General features: G+C 48.7%; 1 protein-coding gene, 1 long non-coding RNA gene, 1 other non-coding gene and 1 pseudogene across 4 annotated transcripts in view, besides 5 other annotated features; 2 read left to right on the plus strand and 2 right to left on the minus strand.

The window, feature by feature from the left end:
• Window positions 1,173-2,526, minus strand: LOC730183 (uncharacterized). Of its 2 annotated transcripts, none has more exons than NR_144637.2 (2): window positions 2,347-2,526; window positions 1,173-1,397 (listed from the first exon to the last, which is right to left on the minus strand). It is a non-coding gene; the product is annotated as an uncharacterized LOC730183 (long non-coding RNA). The 2 variants fall into 2 exon arrangements; NR_171014.1 differs by lacking the exon at window positions 2,347-2,526 and adding an exon at window positions 1,602-1,937.
• Window positions 1,448-1,537: an enhancer, noted in NCBI's record as "active region_10719". NCBI's record gives its function as "activates an Ori minimal core promoter by ATAC-STARR-seq in GM12878 lymphoblastoid cells {active_cell/tissue: GM12878}" and the evidence as "EXISTENCE:reporter gene assay evidence [ECO:0000049][PMID:35858748]".
• Window positions 1,568-1,757: an enhancer, noted in NCBI's record as "active region_10720". NCBI's record gives its function as "activates an Ori minimal core promoter by ATAC-STARR-seq in GM12878 lymphoblastoid cells {active_cell/tissue: GM12878}" and the evidence as "EXISTENCE:reporter gene assay evidence [ECO:0000049][PMID:35858748]".
• Window positions 1,878-2,287: a silencer, noted in NCBI's record as "silent region_7389". NCBI's record gives its function as "represses an Ori minimal core promoter by ATAC-STARR-seq in GM12878 lymphoblastoid cells {active_cell/tissue: GM12878}" and the evidence as "EXISTENCE:reporter gene assay evidence [ECO:0000049][PMID:35858748]".
• Window positions 2,414-2,708: an enhancer, noted in NCBI's record as "tiled region #39; HepG2 Activating DNase unmatched - State 1:Tss, and K562 Activating DNase unmatched - State 1:Tss". NCBI's record gives its function as "activates a minimal TATA promoter and a strong SV40 promoter by Sharpr-MPRA in HepG2 and K562 cells {active_cell/tissue: HepG2 | K562}" and the evidence as "EXISTENCE:reporter gene assay evidence [ECO:0000049][PMID:27701403]".
• Window positions 2,428-2,657: a silencer, noted in NCBI's record as "silent region_7390". NCBI's record gives its function as "represses an Ori minimal core promoter by ATAC-STARR-seq in GM12878 lymphoblastoid cells {active_cell/tissue: GM12878}" and the evidence as "EXISTENCE:reporter gene assay evidence [ECO:0000049][PMID:35858748]".
• Window positions 2,637-20,734, plus strand: part of SRCAP (Snf2 related CREBBP activator protein) — a 42,239-nt gene continuing 24,141 nt past the window's right edge. The window contains exons 1-18 of the mRNA NM_006662.3: window positions 2,637-2,708; window positions 3,374-3,447; window positions 4,082-4,344; window positions 7,530-7,781; window positions 10,649-10,834; window positions 11,038-11,178; window positions 12,979-13,201; window positions 13,317-13,594; window positions 14,220-14,313; window positions 14,465-14,554; window positions 15,037-15,210; window positions 15,301-15,623; window positions 15,728-15,905; window positions 16,145-16,281; window positions 16,674-16,843; window positions 16,985-17,177; window positions 19,532-19,668; window positions 19,759-19,945. Coding sequence (NP_006653.2) covers window positions 4,291-4,344; window positions 7,530-7,781; window positions 10,649-10,834; window positions 11,038-11,178; window positions 12,979-13,201; window positions 13,317-13,594; window positions 14,220-14,313; window positions 14,465-14,554; window positions 15,037-15,210; window positions 15,301-15,623; window positions 15,728-15,905; window positions 16,145-16,281; window positions 16,674-16,843; window positions 16,985-17,177; window positions 19,532-19,668; window positions 19,759-19,945 — 2,817 coding nt within the window. The 5' untranslated portion in view covers window positions 2,637-2,708; window positions 3,374-3,447; window positions 4,082-4,290. The remainder of the gene's footprint in view (window positions 2,709-3,373; window positions 3,448-4,081; window positions 4,345-7,529; window positions 7,782-10,648; window positions 10,835-11,037; window positions 11,179-12,978; window positions 13,202-13,316; window positions 13,595-14,219; window positions 14,314-14,464; window positions 14,555-15,036; window positions 15,211-15,300; window positions 15,624-15,727; window positions 15,906-16,144; window positions 16,282-16,673; window positions 16,844-16,984; window positions 17,178-19,531; window positions 19,669-19,758; window positions 19,946-20,734) is intronic.
• Window positions 4,803-4,901, minus strand: RNU6-1043P (RNA, U6 small nuclear 1043, pseudogene; annotated as a pseudogene).
• SNORA30 (small nucleolar RNA, H/ACA box 30) lies at window positions 14,003-14,131 on the plus strand. Its single transcript, NR_002966.1, has one exon. It is a non-coding gene; the product is annotated as a small nucleolar RNA, H/ACA box 30 (small nucleolar RNA).

Below are 20,734 nucleotides of genomic sequence, written 5' to 3' on the forward strand. Positions count from 1 at the left end.
AGAGGTTGCAGTGAGCAGAGATCGTGACACTGCACTCCAGCTTGGGGTAAAGAGCGAGACTCTGTCTCTAAAAACAAAAAACGAAAAACAAAAAACAAACTATATAAAGCAGCTGGGGGCGGTGGCTCACACCTGTAGTCACAGCACTTTGGGAGGCTAAGGTAGGTGGATCACCTGAGGTCAGGAGTTTGAGAGCAGCCTGGGCAACATGGTGAAACCCTGTCTCTACCAAAAATACAAAAATTAGCTGAGTGTGGTGGTGCACACCTGTAATCCCAGCTACTTGGGAGGGTGAGCCATGAGAATTGCTTGAGCCCGGGAGACAGAGGCTGCAGGGAGCCAAGATTGTGCCATTGCACTCCGGCCTGGGTGACAGAGCAAGACTATCTCAACAAATGAATACATAAATAAATACTATGTAAAGCACATCAGAAAGCTAACCTTGACCTTAAGATCATGGGTGTGAAACACTGAACTATAGTGAAATATACTCCACATTTAGGTAGTCCTTTAGAGCTTTTTTATTTTTTCATAATTTTAAAATTTTTAATTTACTGTAGAGACGACGTCTCACTATGTTACCCAGGCTGGTCTTGAGCTCCTGGCCTCAAGTGATCCTCCTGCCTTGGCCTCCCAAAGTGCTGGGGTTACAGGTGTGAGCCACCGCACCTGGCCCTTTAGATCTTTCAAAGCAATTTTACATCAGCAATTCTATCCTCACTTTACAGAGGAAACTGAAGCTCAGAAAGGTGAAGTTAATTGCTCAAGGTCACATAGCAAGGAGTTAATGGCACAAGGCTAGGTCCAATTCAGGCTCTGGCCTGGGATCCCCTCTTCTGGGGGTGATGGGAGGAGGGTCTAGAAAAGATGGGCATCATCCACTTTTCTTTCAACCCAAACTTCATCTGTAAAATGGGACCAACAATCCTCTTCGCAGGGAAGAGCTAAACTGAATGGAGGAAGGGGAGCTTCATCAGGGCTTCCTAACCTGGCCTCTTAGCGGGGGCTTTAGGTGGTAAAATTTTATGACAGCGAGTGCATTCTTGTGGCTTAGACTGCTTGGCTAGGAATCTTGACTTCAGGATCTGTCACTGTGTTTTAACGCCTGAGCCTCAATTCGTTTGTAAAATGGAGCAGTTAGGATTAAAAGAAATAATCAAGGCACCAAGTAGTGTCAGTAGAAGGTAGCTGTTATTTATTGTTCTATTCTGGGGTAAAGGTATCAGATTCTCAAAGGGATTCTTAATCTAGAAAGTTTGCGAAGAGATGGCAAAGGTGTTTGAAAGCTATCAGGAAACCATCCTCGCGTAAAACGAAGCAGCGCTACAGAAGTGGGCTGCCATGGGAATCGGGAGGCCCAGGTTCCACTGCTAACTTGCTGCAGCTTACTGGGTGATCTGTAAATAAAAAGGGAGGTGGCGGTGGTCCGAGCTGGCAGCCGCAATGCAGCCCCAGGTAGATCTAGGGGCAAACGGTAAAGGCGCTCCGAGGAAGGGCGAGCGCGCAGCCTCTGGGAGACTACACCTCCCAGGCTGCCTTGCGCACCGTGCTGCACCCTACGCTAGCACGCGAGCCTCCCCGTTCCCCCACCCTCCAGTTACTGTCTCTCGCGAGAAGACGGGCCGCGCCGGCGATAGCGATTCCGAGCGAGTGGTGGTGGTAGTGGTGGTGGTGGCGGCCGAGACGGCGGCGGCCATTTTGGTGAGGCCTCGGGAGCGGCAGCGGCGGTTCGCTGGGAGTAGCGTCTGCCCTTTTTCCCACCCACCGTCCGCATCTGTGTGCTGCGCGAAGAGGCAGTGGAGGCAAGGCGGTGGCAGTAGCCGCAGTCTCCAGGGGAGTTTAAAGGCCGCGAAGGCGGTGGCCAAGAGGGGGCCCTCCCCCCTCCTAGGCGGGAGGGGGGGTGGTGCGCACGCCCCCGAGGACGCAGGTAAGGAGAGGGAGACAAGATGGCGAACGCCCCACAGTTCCCCCTCCCATGACGGCTGACTGCGCGCGCATCTTTCCGCCACCGCCTCCCCCCCACCTTCCCGGGGTGCTGCGCGCGCACCCTCAGCCGGGGCCCCGGGGCCGGTGCGCGAGGCTGTCGGCGCGCGCCCATAGAGACAGACTGAGGGGGTCAGGCCGGCCGGCGCTGGGCCCCGGCGTGTCTCCTCTCCCTTCCCGCCCTTCTGCGCACGCGTGCCTGAGCGAGCGAGCGAGCGAGCGAGCCCTGAGAGGACGGACCCAGGTGCGCTCCTGCCCGCCCACCAACCCAGTCACCCCTCAGGGGCGCGCGGGAAGAGGAAGGGGGGCGTGGGACGAGTAGTCGGGGCGCGCGCCCACCACATCTAGCCGGGGGACCAGGACCTGGTGGCACGAACCCTCCCTTCTCTCAGCCTTTCGCGGTCGGGTGATGGGGGGGCTCCCTGACGGGCTTGGATGACGAGCTTCCCAGCCCCGCGACCCTTGTGTGCGTGGGCTCGGGTTCTGGCGGGAGCCCCTGGGCCGTGCGCGCAGCCGGCTCGCTCCGCCTCCAGCCGCGCACGCGCGGGCCCCTCCCCCGCCCGGCGCGCACGTTGGGTGGGGTGGGAGTCTGGAGGGGGCGGGGCTATCTCAGGGCTAGTGGCAACTTGGGCAGAGGTCAGGGGTCACGCGAGGTCAGTCCGTCGGGAGGGCTAGGGAGATGGTCACGAAACCTGAAGTCAAGAGTTAAGGCTTGTTGGCTTCTGGTGAGCTCGGGTCTTGGGAACGTGTGGCGGAGTAGGGAGTGAATCAAAGCCGGCACTGTGGTTTAGGAATTTCCTTAAACACTGGGGAAGCATTTCCGGGCCTCCTGCGGGTTCACACTGCCTGTTTCCGGCGCGTGGTTCTTGGCAGTGCGGCCTCTCGCTTTTGACTGCTCCTGAGTCTCCTTTTGCTGTGGTTCTTGTATTTGGGGAAGTGTCTCAAGGCGCAGGTATGGGATATACAGCGCCCTGCCCTGAATCCTGGGCGGATTTTCCTGTGACCAGCCTGTTTGTTGACTCTTCCCGGGAGTTCCACTCTCACTTCTGCGTTCAGCCCTCACTGGAAAGGCCCGCAGGCAGGTAGCACCTTTCTGAGGTTCTGGATGTGACAGCTTTTTTTTGCTGTATTTTTTTTTTGTCTTCCATTCTGTGGTTGGAGCCTTTACACTTAAAATTTTTGAACTTTCTTTCTTCACTCCTTTCCTGCTCCTGCCCCCAGGCAGGATCGTATGTCCCTCCGGAATTCACAAAACATGATTTGCATTTCCCTGAAATGTGAGATTTTCCTACTACTGTAGTTTTTCTGTTTCTAGTCTTTTAACTGATTTGGGTATATTTAAACGTCTCAAAAAACTGGAGTAAATAATACGCTTTGATGGATGTTTCAGGTGTGATTCCCTTCAGTACGGCGGCACCGTGGAAGTGCAGACTTTCACAGGGGGTGTGGTCTCAGCTCACACAGGTGAGGGATCTGCTACCATTTTGTGTGCTGATGCTAATGGGAGAAATGTTTGAGATAAAGCAATTATAGGTCCGTATTGGGGATTTTCACTCTAGAGAAGCATGGGAATGTTTGCATGTGATTTTTCTGTAGAGGGTTTGATTATAGTACAACAACAGAACTGAGGCTGTGGGTTGAGGAAAACGTGGTCAACCTGGCTCTACCAGGAAGAGTAGCAGGTTTTCCTTGGTTTTGGCATCAGACTGTGGATTGAAGCCCTCCTATCACTTTTTTACTGTGTAACCTTCCGCAAATCATAAGGTCTTAACTTCGTAACTTACAAAACAGATTATATTAGAATGTAAGCTACATTTAGGTCGGGAATCCTTTCTGCATGGCTATATCCGTTGTGTGTAGGAGGAAGTCAATATTTGTTATGCTGTGAAAAGCACTTGGTTTTTAAGGTAGGTGTGAGGATTATAGAACACATCAAACAGGTACTAAAAGTATCTTATACATAGTAAGTGCTCAAGAAATGTAACCTGTAATTTCTGTGTTTCTCTTTATTCAGTGTTATTTCTGGTTTTTTAAAAATACTTTTTCATCCCCTTTAACTGCATTTCTGTCTTTTTTTTTTTTTTTAACCCTACTTTAGGTGCTCCAGAGGCTGGTGGACCTGAGCGGAGGCTGGGACGCCCTGGTGGGCCCCGGGCCCTGGAAGGCGGGTCCCGGTGGCCGGTGGCCCAGAATGAGGCCAGCTCCCAGCATGCCCTGCAGCCGGACGCCAGCCCCTCGGCCAGCAGTACTGGTGATAACAACCCAGTCATTCTTCAGGCATCCAAGGGGGAGCCTGGGAGTGGGACCATGCAGAGCAGCCCCTCCCCTGCTCACCCTCAGCTCCCAGTCCTACAGACACAGGTTTGAAAGTGGGAAGAGTTCCTTCTCTGCTTCTGCTTTGTGGATTGTTGAGTGTGAGGCAGAAGAAATGTGGCAGGGGAATATTTGTGGAGAGTTTTGGAGAATCTTTGGTGCTCGGGGGCTGGGCTGTAGTATATCAGGTCTGTTGGATACTCACATTCCATTTAACATTAGTGTAATATTATCTCCAAGAGTGTAAAAGCGCCTCGTTACCTGAAAAAGGTTGAATTAGGCTAGGCTGGAAATGGAGGTCGTGGCACCATGCTTCTAATACCATACGCTTTAAGAATAGTTTAACTTCTATCAGTACTGGAGTAGGATAAGCCTATGGATGGTGTGTAGTGTTCATTCCTTTCTCATACCAAGGAAGGGTGTGGGGTAGGAAAAAAAGCATGACTTTTAAACACATCTAGGTGTGTGTACAGTCAGCTTTCTATTTTAATTTTTTAAATTTTTCTATAAAAAGGGTTTCTTTATTGTGTCATCCTTGCACAGGGGCCATGCTAATCTTTTCTGTATCCTCCCAGTTTTAGTATATGTGTTGCCAAAGTGAGCAGTACAGTAAGCTTTTCATGTTTGTAAAGTTGGTATTTATAGTTTTCCTGAGAAACTGGGGAAATTTGTGACATACAGTCTTGTCATTTAGCCGAGGTAGGAATTTGAGTGGCGCAGTGTAAGGCTTATGTCCTGGAGTGAATTTGTGAATTCCCTGAGTATCCACCTTTCAGTAGGACTTTGTTTTCCATTTTTTTCTTTTCTTTTTTTTTTTTTTTGAAATGGAGTGTCTTTCAGCCAGGCTGGAATGCAATGGCGCGATCTCGGCTCACTGCAACCTCCGCCTCCTGATTTCAAACAGTTCTCCTGCCTCAGCCTTGCGAGTAGCTGGGATTATAGGCACCCACCATCATGCCTGGCTAGTTTTTATATTTTTGTAGAGATGGGGTTTCACCATCATGTTGGCCAGGCTGGTCTTGAACTCCTGACCTCAGGTGATCCACCCACCTTGGCCTCCCAAAGTATTAGGATTACAGGTGTGAGCCCCCAGGCCTGGCCTATTTTCCATTTCTTTCTTTCTTTTTTTTTTTTTTATTTTTAAGATGGAGTCTCGCTCTGTCACCAGGCTGAAATGCAGTGGTGTGATCTTGGCTCACTGCAACCTCCGCCTCCCGGGTTCAAACAATTCTTCTGCCTCAGCCTCCTGAGTAGCTGGGACTACAGGTGCGCGCCACCACGCCTGGCTAATTTTTGTGTTTTTAGTAGAGATGGGGTTTCACCATGTTTGCCAGGATGGTCTTCATCTTTGACCTCGTGATCCCCGCCTTACTCAGCCTCTCAAAAGTGCTGGAATGACAGGTGTGAACCACCGCGCCTGGCCCAGAGTTTCGCTTTTGTTGCCCAGGCTGGAGTGCAGTGGTGTGGTGTTGGCTCACTGCAACCTCCACCTCCTGGGTTCAAGTGATTCTCCTGCCTCAGCCTCTTGAGTAGCTAGGATTACAGGCGTCCGCCACCACGCCCAGCTAATTTTCTGTGTTTTTAGTAGAGATGGGGTTTCACCATGTAGGTTAGGCTGGTCTCAAACTCCTGACCTCTGGTAATCCACCCGCCTCAGCCTCCAAAAGTGCTAGGATTACAGGTGTGAGCCACCGTGCCCAGCCCTGTTTTCCACCCTCCTTCCCTCCCTCCCTCCCTTCCCTCCCTCCCTCCCTCCCTTCCCTGCCTTCCCTCCCTCCCTCCCTCCCTCCTTCCTTCCTTCCTTCCTTCTCTCCCTCCTTCCTTCTGAGTGCAATGGCACAATCTTGGCTTACTACAACCTCTGCCTCCTGGTTCAAGCAATTCTCTGCCTCAGACTCCTGAGTAGCTGGGATTACAGGCTCACGCCACCACACGTGGCTAATTTCTGTATTTTTAGTAGAGATGGGGTTTCACCATGTTGGTCAGGCTGGTCTGGAACTCCTGACCATGTGATCCGCCCGCCTCGGCCTCCCAAAGTCCACCGAGCCCAGCTTCCATTTCTTAATGCTTTTGCAGTACCTTGTAAAGTGACGTGTTGGGTGTTTGAGAACATTGGCTATGCCTGCAGCCCATGCCTGTCCAGTGAAGAGGTTAAGGTGGCCTGGGATTTATTGGTGGCTGTTGAATTTAGTGGTAGCTCACATTTATTGCATAAGTGAGTTTGCCACACTTGTTCTGAAAATGGAGGGTAAATAGGGAGTTGTTTATGTGCATGAAATCACTGAGGCTCTGAAACGATCAGAATTTGAAATCATATGCTATATATATATATATATATGTATGTATATAAATTTTTTTTTTCCTTTTCCTTTCCGAGACAGAGTCACCCTGTCATCCAAGCTGGAATGCAGTGGCGCGATCTCGGCTCACTGCAACCTCCGCCTCCCACGCCTCCCAGGTTCAAGCGATTCTCGTGCCTCAACCTCCTGAGTAGCTGGGATTACAGGCTCCCGCCACCACGCCCAGCTAATTTTTGTATTTTCAGTAGAGACGGGGTTTCACCATGTTGGCCAGGTTGGTCTCAAACTCCTGACCTCAGGTGATCCACCCACCTTAGCCTCCCAAAGTGCTGGGATCACAAGCATGAGCCACCACCCCCGGCCTATATATATATATATTTTTAAGTTTGGGAACTGTGTAAATGTCAGGACATAATTCTTGCATGTCAAGCATCTATAAACTTGGCTCTGCCATCTTGAGTCCCTTATTAAAACTTTATCCCAAGGCCGGGCGTGGTGGCTCACGCCTGTAATCCCAGCACTTTGGGAGGCTGAGGTGGGCGGATCATGAGGTCAGGAGATCGAGACCATCCTGGCTAACGTGGTGAAACCCTGTCTCTACTAAAAATACAAAAAAATTAGCTGGGCATAGTGGCGGGCGCCTGTAGTCCCAGCTGCTCAGGAGGCTGAGGCAGGAGAATGGCATGAACCCGGGAGGCGGAGCTTGCGGTGAGCCGAGATCGCGCCACTGCACTCCAGCCTGGGCGACAGAGCGAGACTCCATCTCAAAAAAATAAAATAAAAACTTTATCCCGAACGTTTGTGTTTATGAAAATAAGGTTTATACCTTACTCTACACAGTTTTTTCTTGTGAAGATCGGATGAAATAATGTATCTAAAACACTCAGCACAGTGCGAAGCATTTATTTTCTCCATCATTTTCCTCTTTTCTAGATGGTGTCGGACGGCATGACAGGCAGCAATCCTGTGTCCCCTGCCTCATCCAGTTCCCCAGCCTCTAGTGGGGCAGGCGGCATCTCCCCGCAGCACATAGCTCAAGATTCCTCACTGGATGGACCTCCAGGCCCCCCAGATGGTGCCACAGTGCCCCTGGAGGGGTTCAGCTTATCCCAGGCTGCTGACCTGGCTAACAAGGGCCCGAAGTGGGAGAAGAGCCATGCCGAAATTGCAGAACAGGCCAAGCATGTACGTATTAGAAAGGCTTATGAAGATTCTTGGGAGTTATCTTCCGTAAACTCCCACGTCCTCTTGAGTATTTTATGTTTCTTTTCTTTTTTGTCATGGATTTAGGGTATAGGTTCTGCCTTAATGTATATGATCGTGAGCAAACTGCTTGAATATTGAGTCTCATTTTCCTTGCTGTAAATAAAATAGGAATGATATAATAGTTTATAGGCTATTAAGAGGTTTAAGTTATAGGAGCAAGGCCAGGCGCAGTGGCTCACACCTGTAATCCTGGCACTTTGGGAGGCTGAGACAGGCAGATCTCTTGAGCCCAGGAGTTCAAGACCAGACTGGGCAATGTGGTAAAACCCCATCTCTGTAAAAAGTACAAAAAATTAGCTGGGTATAGTCGCACATGCCTGTAGCAGTCGCAGCCACCCAGGAGCCTGAGTTGAGAGGATCACCTGAGCCCAGGAGGTCAGGGCTGCAGTGAGCCACGATTATGCCACTGCACTCCAGCCTGAGCAACCGAGTAAGATCCTGTCTCAAAAAAAAAGGAGAAAATAGACACAAAAGCACTTTGTAAACTGTGATGCTCTTAAGATTTACTGGTTTCTATTTATTTCTATCGTGCAGTCTGTATTACATTTATCCAGTGGTAAGTGTGGTCTCTGGGCCAGCAGCATCAGCATCACCTGGGAACTTAGTAGAAACACAAATTCTTTGCCGGGCGTGGTGGCTCATGCCTGTAATCCCAGCACTTTGGGAGGCCGAGGCGGGTGGATCACCTGAGGTCAGGAGTTCGAGACCAGCCTGGCCAACGTGGCAAAATCCCATCTCTGCTAAAAATACAAAAATTAGCCTGGCGTGGTGGCGCAGGCCTGTAGTCCTAGCTACTCAGGAAGCTGAGGCAGGGAAATTGCTTGAACTGGGAACCGGAGGTTGCAGTGACCTGAGATGATGCCACTGCACACCAGCCTGGGTAACAGTGAGACTCTGTCTCAAAAAAAAATGCAAATTCTTGGTACCTCTCACCCACCGACCCATTTGAAACTATGAGGGTAGGGCCCAGCAATGTTTTTATTTTTTATTTTTATTTTTATTTTATTTATTTATTTTGTTGAGACGGAGTCTCGCTCTGTCGCCCAGGCTGGAGTGCAGTGGCAGAATTTTGGCTCACTGCAAGCTCCGCCTCCCGGGTTCACAGCCATTCTCTGGCCTCAGCCTCCTGAGTAGCTAGGACTACAGGCGCCCGCCATCACACCCGGCTAAATTTTTTGTATTTTTAGTAGAGATGGGGTTTCACCATGTTGGCGGGATGGTCTTGATCTCTTGACCTTGTGATCTGCCAGCCTCGGCCTCTGAAAGTGCTGGGATTACAGGCATGAGCCACTGCGCCCGGCCACAATTGGGTTTTTTTTTTTTTCCTTGAGACGGAGTCTCAGTCTTTCGCTGAGGCTGGAGTGCAGTGGCATGATCTCGGCTCACTGCAAGCTCCGCCTCCTGGGTTCACGCCATTCTCCTGCCTCAGCCTCCCGAGTAGCTGGGACTAAGCGCTCGCCACTATGCCTGGCTAATTTTTTGTGTTTTTAGTAGACACGGGGTTTCACCGTTTTAGCCAAGATGGTCTCGATCTCCTGACCTTGTGATCCACCCGCCTTGGCCTCCCAAAGTGCTGGGATTACAGGTGTGAGCACAACCTGTTTCTAAAAGTCCTCCAGATGATTCCGGTGCCTCCTCAAGTTTGAGAGCAGCTGGTCTAATATCCACGTCTTTCTTGATGTTTCCTTCACTGTCAGGCCATTTAGTCCTGTCTGGTCTCTGGCTGTCATTTTCTCTGATTTAGTTTTTATCAGGAGAGGACAGAAATAACAAAGACAGAGGCTGGGTGCGGTGGTTTTCGCCTATAATCTGAGCATTTTGGGAATCCCAGGCAGGCGGATTGCTTAAACCCAGGAGTTCCAGACCAGCCTTGACATTGTGAAACCTCGCCCCTACGAAAAATACAAAAAAATTAGCTGGGCATGGTTGCATGTGCCTATAGTCAGTCTCAGCTACCTGGGAGGCTGAGTTGGGAGGCTGAGTTGGGAAGATAACCTGAGCCTAGGCAGCAGAGTGAGACCCAGAAAAATCTCACTCAGATTTCTGAGTGAGATTCAGAAAAAGAAATAAGGCAGTTGTCCTGAATTTTTTGAGTCGTCTCTGTCAAAAAAATTTTAAATGCTTTTTAAATAAAAGACAATCAGTGTAGAAGCTTTAGTAAAAATGACCACTCTTTTTTACACCTAATCAGTGTTAAACATTTCACGTATAACGTTTCAGTATTTTTTACATAAACATATGCATTTTTACAAAAGTAGTATTTTTAAAAACAACAGTGTGTCAGTTGGGCATTATAGCATATTTCTAAGCTTAATGCATCATGAAAATACTCTGAGTAAGTAGAATTCTACAATGATGATGACCCCTTGTATCTAGAATCAAGAGGGAAGTATGTGTTCCCTACTCCTCTGGGAAGCTCCTCTTGGGATATGATTTCCCAAGTCTCTCCTATGTCTATGGGGTGTGGAGATTGTGTTAAATAATGGAAAGAGCATGAAATTTGCTGTCTGGAGTCCTCAGACCTATTTTTGATTCACATTTTCTATTACTTTCTAGCTGTGTGATCTTGGGCAAATCACTTAATCTCCCTGATCTTTTTTCCTTCTTCATCTCCCTGATCTTTTTTCCCTTCTCTGAAGAGAGTATGATACCTGCCTGTAAGTTTGGTATGTGGACTAAACATAAGCATAACACACTCAGCCCACTTAGTGCTCAGGAATTCAGCCGTGGCAGTGAGATGGAGTGTGTGTTTAGAACTGTTGATTGATCTGGCTCTCCCTGATTAGGAGGCCGAGATCGAGACTCGGATTGCTGAGCTGCGGAAGGAGGGTTTCTGGTCACTGAAGAGGCTGCCTAAGGTGCCAGAGCCCCCTCGCCCCAAAGGTCACTGGGACTATTTGTGCGAAGAGATGCAGTGGCTCTCTGCTGACTTTGCTCAGGAGCGCCGTTGGAAACGGGGTGTGGCCCGGAAGGTAGGTCTTCCGCTGGGACTTCCTTCCTTTTCCTTTTCAGGTCTGTTCCTTCCCGGTTTGTTGGAAGGGGACCAGACAGAATGGTGTAGGCATTAAGAGCAAACTCTTGATTTTCCAGATTTCTTGGCCTTGATTATTTTCTTTGCCTTTGGGTGGGGAAGTCTGGCTTTGAGTGTTTTCACCCTGGGTCTTCATTCCCACAGGTGGTGCGCATGGTGATCCGGCACCACGAGGAGCAGCGGCAGAAAGAGGAACGGGCCCGGAGGGAGGAGCAGGCCAAGCTGCGTCGAATTGCTTCCACCATGGCCAAGGATGTCAGGCAGTTCTGGAGCAATGTGGAGAAGGTAGACAGTGGGGATCAGGAAAGGAAAATGGCCTTGGATTAGATTGGTAGATGGCGTGGTAGTAGGAATGATCAAAACTTCTTGAGGGAGTAAATATAATTTCAGGCAACTCTAATGACGTTTATGTTGTATGGATAAAAAAGTATAGTGGCAAAATATGGGTCCTGCCTTTGGGGATTGTTAATAGTTCTCCTTGACACCTCTAGGCCATCTGTCCCTTGCAGGGCATTTAGCATGTGTTTACTGAAATGTATTTGTGCCACTTAGCACATGCTTAAATTCCGTCAAAGTTCCCACTGCCTGTATAGTAAGTTGTAATTATTTCTTAAGTACTACCCAGTTTCCGTCTGTATTTTCGGTCTTGCCTCCTGCCATGTTCATTCCTTCTCCCTTCCACTCCACACCCACCTTTCTTTTGTATATCTCTGTCCATTTACACATAGACTTTATGCTGCTGGGAATGCTTTTTTCCTCATGTGTACTTAGGGAACAGCCACCTATTTTTTAATTGTCTTGGACAGAGTCTTGCTGTGTCTCCTAGGCTGGAGTGCAGTGGTACGATCACAGCTCACTGCATCCTCAACCTCCTGGGCTCACGCGATCTTCCTGCCTCGATCTCCCAAGTATCTGGGACTACAGGCGCGTGCTACCACATCTTGCTAATTAAAAAAATTCTTTTTAATTTCTTTTTTTTTAATTTTTTTGTGAAACAGAGTCTCACCCCGTCACCTAGGGCAGTGGCGCAATCTTGGCTCACTGCAACCTCTGCCTCCCAGGCTCAAGTGATTCTCCTGCCTCAGGCTCTGGAGTAGCTGGGATTACAGGCATGTGCCACTATGTCTGGCTAATTTTTGTATTTTTAGTAGAGACAGGGTTTTGCTGTGTTGGCCAGGCTGGTCTTGAACTCCTGACCTCAGGTTATCCACTCGCCCCAGCCTCTCAAAGTGCTGGGATTATAGACGTGAGCCACCGCACCTGGCCTAAAAATATTTTTTTGTGGAGACAAGGTCTCGCTGTTACATACCAAGCTGATCTTGAATTCCTAGGCTCAAGCGATCCTCTCACTTTGGCCTCCCAAAGTGTGAGCCACTATGCCTGGCTTCACCTACCTGTTTTTTTGTTTTTGAGACGGAGTCTCGCTTTGTTCCCAGGCTGGAGTGCAGTGGTGCAATCTGGGCTTACTGCAACCTCTGCCTCCCAGGTTCAAGCGATTCTCCTGCCTCTGCCTCCGGAGTAGCTGAGTTTACAGGTGCCCGCCACCACGCCTGGCTAATTTTTTATTTTTAGTAGAGATGGGGGTTTCACCATGTCGGTCAGGCTGGTCTCGAACTCCTGACCTCACGTGATCCTCCCACTTCAGCCTTCCAAAGTGCTGAGAATACAGGCATGAGCCACTGTGCCTGGCCCACCTACCTATTTTTTGAGACCCAGTTCCAGCTGGGTGTGGTGATGCATGCCTGTAGTTCCACCTACGTGGGAGGGTGAGGCAGGAGGATCATTTGAGCCCAGGAGTTTGACACTAGTCTGGCCAACATAGTGAGATCTCATCTCTTTAAAAAAAAAAAAAAATCCAGCTTCAGATTGCAAACCTTCCCTCCACCTGAGGCGAAGCTGGCTCTTCTTCCTGCATGCTCCCTTTGTGCTTCCTTTAGACCATAGTGAGCCCCTAAGGTTATTTAGTTTTACTTTCCTAAGAGGCCAGCCCAGGATCTGGTTAAAGAAGGTCTCCCTAAACATCGGGTAAAAGTACATAAATAAAATGGTTATCTTGGTGAGCAGTCCCTTTCACATCTGTGGCAGGTGGTGCAATTCAAGCAACAGTCCCGGCTTGAGGAAAAGCGCAAAAAAGCCCTGGACCTGCATTTGGACTTCATTGTGGGGCAAACTGAAAAGTACTCGGACCTTCTGTCTCAGAGCCTCAACCAGCCATTAACCTCCAGCAAAGCAGGCTCTTCCCCTTGCCTCGGCTCTTCCTCAGCTGCCTCCAGTCCTCCACCCCCTGCTTCTCGCCTGGATGATGAAGGTGTGTGTTCTCTTTGGTCCTGTTACTCTTCCTCATGTACCCTTTCCAGAGCTGAAAAACCCACCCTGTGGCTTGCAGGGCCCGTGGACTTTGTGACCTTGTTCTCCTGCTATAGATGGGGACTTTCAACCCCAAGAGGATGAGGAAGAGGATGATGAGGAAACGATTGAAGTTGAAGAACAACAGGAAGGCAATGATGCAGAGGCCCAGAGGCGTGAGATTGAGCTGCTTCGCCGTGAGGGAGAATTGCCACTGGAAGAGCTGCTCCGTTCCCTTCCCCCTCAGCTGTTGGAAGGGCCTTCCAGCCCCTCTCAAACCCCCTCATCTCATGATAGTGACACCCGAGATGGGCCTGAAGAAGGTGCTGAAGAAGAGCCCCCTCAGGTGTTGGAGGTATAGGCAGAAGGAGCAGAGGGAGGGTTCAGAGGGGGAACAGAGGGAGAGGTTCAGGGTCTGAGTTCCGGGCTGTGAGGTTGGTTATGAGTTTTAGGAGTTCTGCTAGTAATGGACATTTGGGCTCTTTGGGGATGACTGGGGAAGAATCTGTTTGGGGCAAGTTGCATTTTGTGATTGGCAGGTTTTGGCGCTATAGTGGAAGAGCGTATTGCACTTTCCTCTTTAAATTGCTGTGTGGTCTTGAAAAAGTACTTCCTCTGACCGTTACTTGCCACTTCTCTGAACATGCCCTAATGTTCCCTTATTGGCTTACAGGTTGGAAGCTGGCATGGTACCCTTAAGTCTTTTCTGTTTCTCCATATGTCTCAAGTGCATGGGGAAGTGTTGGGTGCCTTTATTTGTTACCTGGCACTTTCACAGTTCCTTCCCCAGGCAGTGGGGCCAGGATTTGGTAGCTGGTGCTGAGAGAAAACCCTTGATTGTATTCTTGCCCTGGGATTATACCAGTGGCAACTGTCACTCAATGGGACAGTGATTCTCCTGTGACACCTTTTTCAAGTTTGTGCCATTCTTCTGCTACTGTAACCTTAGACCCTTCCCTTTTTTATCTTTTGCCATACAGATAAAGCCCCCACCCTCTGCTGTCACACAGCGCAACAAACAGCCTTGGCATCCAGATGAAGATGATGAAGAGTTTACTGCCAACGAAGAGGAAGGTCAGGGCTGTTCGGTTTGTCCTATTGCCCCTTACCCCTTGAATGAATTGTCTGGACCTAACCTTTCAGGCTTTCTCATCTGTTTCATTTGGACTGTGTCCTGTGCCTCTAGCCTCTATCCCTATTAATCTTGCTTCTGTCTCTTTCCTAGCGGAGGATGAAGAGGATACTATAGCAGCTGAGGAACAGTTGGAAGGGGAGGTGGATCATGCCATGGAGCTGAGCGAGTTGGCTCGAGAAGGTGACATTTACCAGACATTTTACTAAGCATCCACTTGGTGTCTGCGGTGTGCAGTACCAAGGATAAAGAGATGAATAAGGCACTTTGTATCCACCCTGGAGGAATTCCATGTCTAATGACTAAGACAGACTTGTAAACCAGTAATGATAAGTAGAAAGTGATGAGTGCTTATGATAGAAGTTTAAATGGTGATGTGGGAGTGAAATGGAGGGAAGAGCTAATGTAGGAAGATACTGACAGCATTTGACCTGGACCTTGAGAGGCTCACCAGGTTGATAATGTTCTTCCCAATTCCCATGGTACTTCCCCCAGGTTGTGGGGCTTGGCTTTGCTAGCTGATGCTGAAAGTAAGCTCTTTTGCCTCCCCTCAGACCTGGGCCTAGCAGTATCTACAGAGACCTAGGTAAAATTAACTGGTACTACTCAGACCTCCCCTTCTCCCTCCCCTCAGAGCAACCAAAAGCTTTTTGTTTCTCTTCCAGGTGAGCTTTCCATGGAGGAGCTATTGCAGCAGTATGCAGGAGCCTATGCCCCAGGCTCTGGGAGCAGTGAAGATGAGGATGAAGATGAGGTTGATGCTAATAGCTCTGACTGTGAACCAGAGGGGCCCGTGGAAGCGGAAGAGCCTCCTCAGGAGGATAGTAGCAGTCAGTCAGGTGAATATGTGGTCATGAAGCAGGAGCTGGGGAGGGTGGCCATTGGAAGAGCAGGTATGATGAGCAGTAAGCCTTGGTCTTACCCTTTAGACTCTGTGGAGGACCGGAGTGAGGATGAGGAAGATGAACATTCAGAGGAGGAAGAAACAAGTGGAAGTTCAGCATCAGAGGAATCTGAGTCTGAAGAGTCTGAGGATGCCCAATCACAGAGCCAAGCAGATGAAGAGGAGGAAGATGATGATTTTGGGGTGGAGTACTTGCTTGCCAGGGATGAAGAGCAGAGTGAGGCAGATGCAGGCAGTGGGCCTCCTACTCCAGGGCCCACTACTCTAGGTCCAAAGAAAGAAATTACTGACATTGCTGCAGCAGCTGAAAGTCTCCAGCCCAAGGGTTACACGCTGGCCACGACCCAGGTATCCCCAGGTTCTGGCCTCTCCTTTCTCATGTCTTGACTTTCTCATGTCCCCACAACAAATGCCTCATTTCCATTGTGTTACCTATATTTCCTCTCTGACAGGTAAAGACGCCCATTCCCCTGCTTCTGCGGGGCCAGCTCCGGGAGTACCAGCACATTGGGCTAGACTGGCTGGTTACCATGTATGAGAAGAAGCTTAATGGCATTCTTGCTGATGAGATGGGGCTTGGGAAGACCATCCAGACCATCTCTCTGCTTGCCCACTTGGCTTGTGAGAAAGGTAAGTAGGCAAGGCCCCTTCTTTTGTTCCCCCTAGTCTAGCTCCCTGGGAGCTTGTTCAGTGATGACTCCAGCTTCATTGACTTTTGCTTTATTGACTCCGGTCATTAACTGTATAGAGAGGACAGTGTAGGTGCTAGGATTCCTAGGAAGGGCCAAAGGGTGGCCAGGGTTATAACTGAGAAATCAGAACCACAGAATTTACATTTCCTTACCATCTCTGATTTTTTTGCCTAACAGGTAACTGGGGTCCCCATTTAATCATTGTTCCCACCAGCGTGATGTTGAACTGGGAGATGGAGTTGAAACGGTGGTGCCCCAGCTTTAAAATCCTCACTTACTATGGAGCCCAGAAAGAGAGGAAGCTCAAGCGGCAGGTTCGATGTTTCATGTGGTCACTTTCCTCCCATTGATGCCTCCTTTATTTTTAAGCCCTTTCCTCAGGTGAATTCCTTTCTCTCCTCTTTCTTTTTTAAAAAAAATTTTTTAATTTTTTGTAAAAATAAAGATGGGGTCTCACTATGTTACCCAAGCTGACCTTGAACACCTGGGCTCAAGAGATCCTCCCACCTCAACCTCCCAAAGTACTGAGACTATAGCTGTGAGCCACCGCACCCAGGCCCCTCCTCTTTCTGTCGCTCCATTCTTTTGCTGGGACTTTCTCTTTTCTTCCAACCTGATTACTGTCCTTTGAGGAGTTTAGCATGTCTTCCCTTTGCTCTCTTCTTTTCATCCCACTATCTGCTACTTTCTGTCTTTGATCCCTCAGGGCTGGACCAAGCCCAATGCCTTTCATGTGTGTATCACATCTTACAAGCTGGTGCTGCAGGACCACCAGGCCTTCCGTCGCAAGAACTGGCGCTATCTCATTCTGGATGAGGCGCAGAACATCAAGAACTTCAAGTCACAGCGCTGGCAGTCACTCCTCAACTTCAACAGGTGGAGATGGAGATGGGGATTCATGGGAGGGTTGACTTGGCTAGAAGGGAGGGCTGCCTGGGTTGAGGAATGTATCAGAATGCTCAGAAGGTTGGGAGCTTGCTGACCATACTCTCTCTGATTCTCTCTGTCTCTTTGCAGCCAGAGACGCCTGCTCCTGACAGGAACTCCCTTGCAGAACAGCCTCATGGAGCTGTGGTCCTTGATGCACTTTTTGATGCCCCATGTCTTCCAGTCTCATCGCGAGTTCAAGGAGTGGTTCTCTAATCCCCTAACTGGCATGATTGAGGGCAGCCAAGAGTATAATGAAGGTCTAGTCAAACGCCTCCACAAGGTAGGGCCTGCAACAGTTTGTCAGGGTATTGGGAATGGTAAGGAACCATTCCTGAGCACCTGGGCAGTGCCCAGGAAACCCTTGGGGAGAGGGAAGTCAGTGCCAGGCTAAACTCCTTTGTCAAGCTGCAGTGTTCTAGTGACTAACCCATTGCCAGATTGAGTGACCTCATCTTAGTCATCAATTCTGTTTTTTTTTTTTTTTGAGACTGAGTCTTGCTTTGTCGCCCAGGCTGGAGTGCAGTGTTGCAATATCCATTCACTGCAAACTCCGCCTTCTGGGTTCACACCATTCTCCTGCCTCAGCCTCCCGAGTAGCCAGGACTACAGGCACCCGCCACAAAGCCTGGCTAATTTTTTTTTTTTTTTTTTTGAGACAGAGTTCACTCTGTCGCCCAGGCTGGAGTGCAGTGGCGCGGTCTTGGCTCACTGCAAGCTTTGCCTCCCAGGTTCATGCCATTCTCCTGCTTCAGCCTCCCGAGTAGCTGGGACTAAAGGCGCCCACCACCACGCCGGGCTAATTTTTTGTATTTTTAGTAGAGACGGGGTTTCACCGTATTAGCCAGGATGGTCTCCATCTCCTGACCTCATGATCCGCCTGCCTCGGCCTCCCAAAGTGCTGGGATTATAGGCATGAGCCACCGCGCCCGGCCTACGCCCGGCTAATTTTTTGTATTTTTAGTAGAGTCGGAGTTTCACCGTGTTAGCCAGGATGGTCTCGATCTCCTGACCTCGTGATCTGCCTGCCTCGGCCTCCGAAAATCCTGGAATTAAAGGTGTGAGCCACCGTGCCGGGCTTTTTTTTTTTTGAGACAGAGTCTCTCTCTGTCACCCAGGCTGGAGTGCAGTGGCGTGATCTGGCTCATTGCAACCTCCACCTCCCAGGTTCAAGCGATTCTCCTGCCTCAGCCTCCTGAGTAGCTGGGGTTACAGGTCTGCACTACGATGCCTAGCTAATGTTTGTTATTTTTAGTAGAGGCGGATTTCGCCATGTTGGCCAGGCTGGTCTCGAACTCCTGACCTTAAGTGATCCGCCCTGCCCCCGCTTGGCCTCCCAAAGTGTTGGGATTACAGGTGTGAGCCACCGTTCCCAGCCTGTTTGTTTTTTGTTTTTTTTTAAATGGTGATGTTTTTGTCCTTACTGTCTTTGAGTAGAATGGTACTGCTGATTGATCCCTGCTTGGATTTCTTCAACTTCATATTGTTGGTGTTTTCTCTCTCTGGTCTTCTTTGGCTCTTCCTTTTTCGCCCAACTTTTAAATCACAACATCTTTCAGCATTCTGATCTTTACTTTTTTTGTCTTCTCAGTCTGCATATCTCACAGGCCTACTCATTCCTAAGGCTTTGACTATTTCTTATGTGATAAAGACTCTCCAGTCTGTACTAAAATTCCTTGACTTTCTAGATCACTTGACCTGTATTTAAATTTCTGATTTGCTATCATTAATTGAGAGTTCCTCTTGAACTCAACACTGTTCTAAGCTAGACATCTCTGGCCTTATAGCCTGTTATTTCTACTTCATCTTGGTCAATCACTATCATTCGGTAAACTAAGCTAGAAAACAGGAAGTCGGCCGGGCGCGGTGGCTCACGCCTGTAATCCCAGCACTTTGGGAGGCTGAGGCAGGCGGATCACGAGGTCAGGACATCAACACCATCCTGGCTAAAATGGTGAAACCCCGTCTCTACTAAAAATACAAAAAATTAGCCGGGCGCGGTGGCGGGTGCCTGTAGTCCCAGCTACTCAGGAGGCTGAGGCAGGAGAATGGCATGAACCCGGGAGGCAGAGCTTGCAGTGAGCCAGGATTGCGCCACTGCACTCCAGCCTGGGTGACAGAGCGCAACTTTGTATCAAAAAAAAAAAAAAAAGAAAACAGGAAGTCTTCCTTAACTATTACTTTTCCTTCATTTATCTCTGTTCCTTTACTTCTTCCGTGTCACTGTAGACATTGATGACTGTGTCCTATTAGATTTTATCTTCTGAGATTACAGATTTGCCTTTTGTTTTATCTCCTGTCAAGGCCACAGTTTTTATTCTCCTCATCTTCTAGATTTATTTGCATCATCTTGTAAACTTAACAATTACTCCTCAAAATCTAGTTTGAGTTTTCTATTCTGCGTAGTTGGTCTGCCCACAGTGCTTCCTTATATCACTTCCTGTGTCATGGTATCATTTTGTGTCTGTCTCCTTCAGCAGACAGCAGATCCCTTGAGGGCTTGCAGTTGACTCATCTTTGTGTGGTTGGTGTCTGATATGGTGTGCCGTATGACTCCATTAGTGTTTGCTGAGGGGCTTAGGCTGGGGCTCGGTGCCTGAGTTCTCCTGTTTAGCCTCCAGCTTAATTTGCTTTTAGGTTTTGAGGCCTTTTTTACTGCGCCGAGTTAAGGTGGATGTTGAGAAGCAGATGCCCAAAAAGTACGAGCATGTTATCCGCTGCAGGCTCTCCAAGCGTCAACGCTGTCTCTATGATGACTTCATGGCACAGACCACGTAAGGGAGGAAGGAGGGTGGGCCCTGGGACTCGAGATTGGAGTGTAGGTGGCTGTTAGGACGTCTCATTTATTTTTCCTCTTTCCCCAGAACTAAGGAGACACTAGCCACAGGCCATTTCATGAGCGTCATCAACATTTTGATGCAGCTGAGAAAAGTTTGCAATCATCCAAATCTGTTCGACCCTCGACCGGTTACCTCCCCTTTCATCACCCCAGGCATCTGCTTCAGCACCGCCTCTCTGGTGCTAAGGGCCACGGATGTCCATCCCCTCCAGGTAAGTATGATTCCATTAATATGAAATGTAAAGGTTATCGGCATTACTCCAACCATGTACCTCTTTTCGTTAGACTGGGGTCTGACTTTTGCATCCTCATGACTCCCCTATCATTCCCTTAGTTTTATTGTACTCTAGCCATGTGACTTAACGATGGTTCAACTTAATATTTTTTTGACTTCACTGTGAATTTATCAGGATGTAACCCCATCGTAAATTGAGGAGCATCTGGACTTAGAATGATTCAGCTTACAATTTTTTACTTTTTGATGGGCTTATCAAGGGTATTAAAGGGTATTAAATTCTTTACTTGCTGAGGGTTTGTTGGAATGTAACCTCATTGTAAGTCCAGGAGCGTCTGCATCACATTTTGTTTATCCACTTATCTGTCAGTGGGCACTTGGATTCTTTCCACCTTTTGTCTCTTGTGAATAAGGCTATGAACATAGGTGTACAAATATCTCTGCTTTTTATTTTGGGTATTTACTTAACAGTGAAATTGCTGTAACATGGTAATTCTATTTCTGCATGTTGGGAAAACCTCCACTGTTTTCCATAGTAGCTGCATGTTTTACATTTCCACCCTAGCAGGGCACAAGTGTTCTAATTTCTCCACATCCTTGCCATTACCTGTTATTTCTTTTTTTTTAATTACACCCATATTAATGAGTGTGAATTGGTATTTCATTGTGGTTTTGGTTTGCATTTCCTTATTTCCTTAGTGATGAGTGCTGTCAAGGATCTTTTCATGTGCTCATTGGCCACTTGTCTATATTTTTGAAGAAATGT

Source organism: Homo sapiens, chromosome 16 (genome assembly GCF_000001405.40).
Source record: "Homo sapiens chromosome 16, GRCh38.p14 Primary Assembly".
In the NCBI taxonomy this organism is placed as follows: domain Eukaryota; kingdom Metazoa; phylum Chordata; class Mammalia; order Primates; family Hominidae; genus Homo; species Homo sapiens.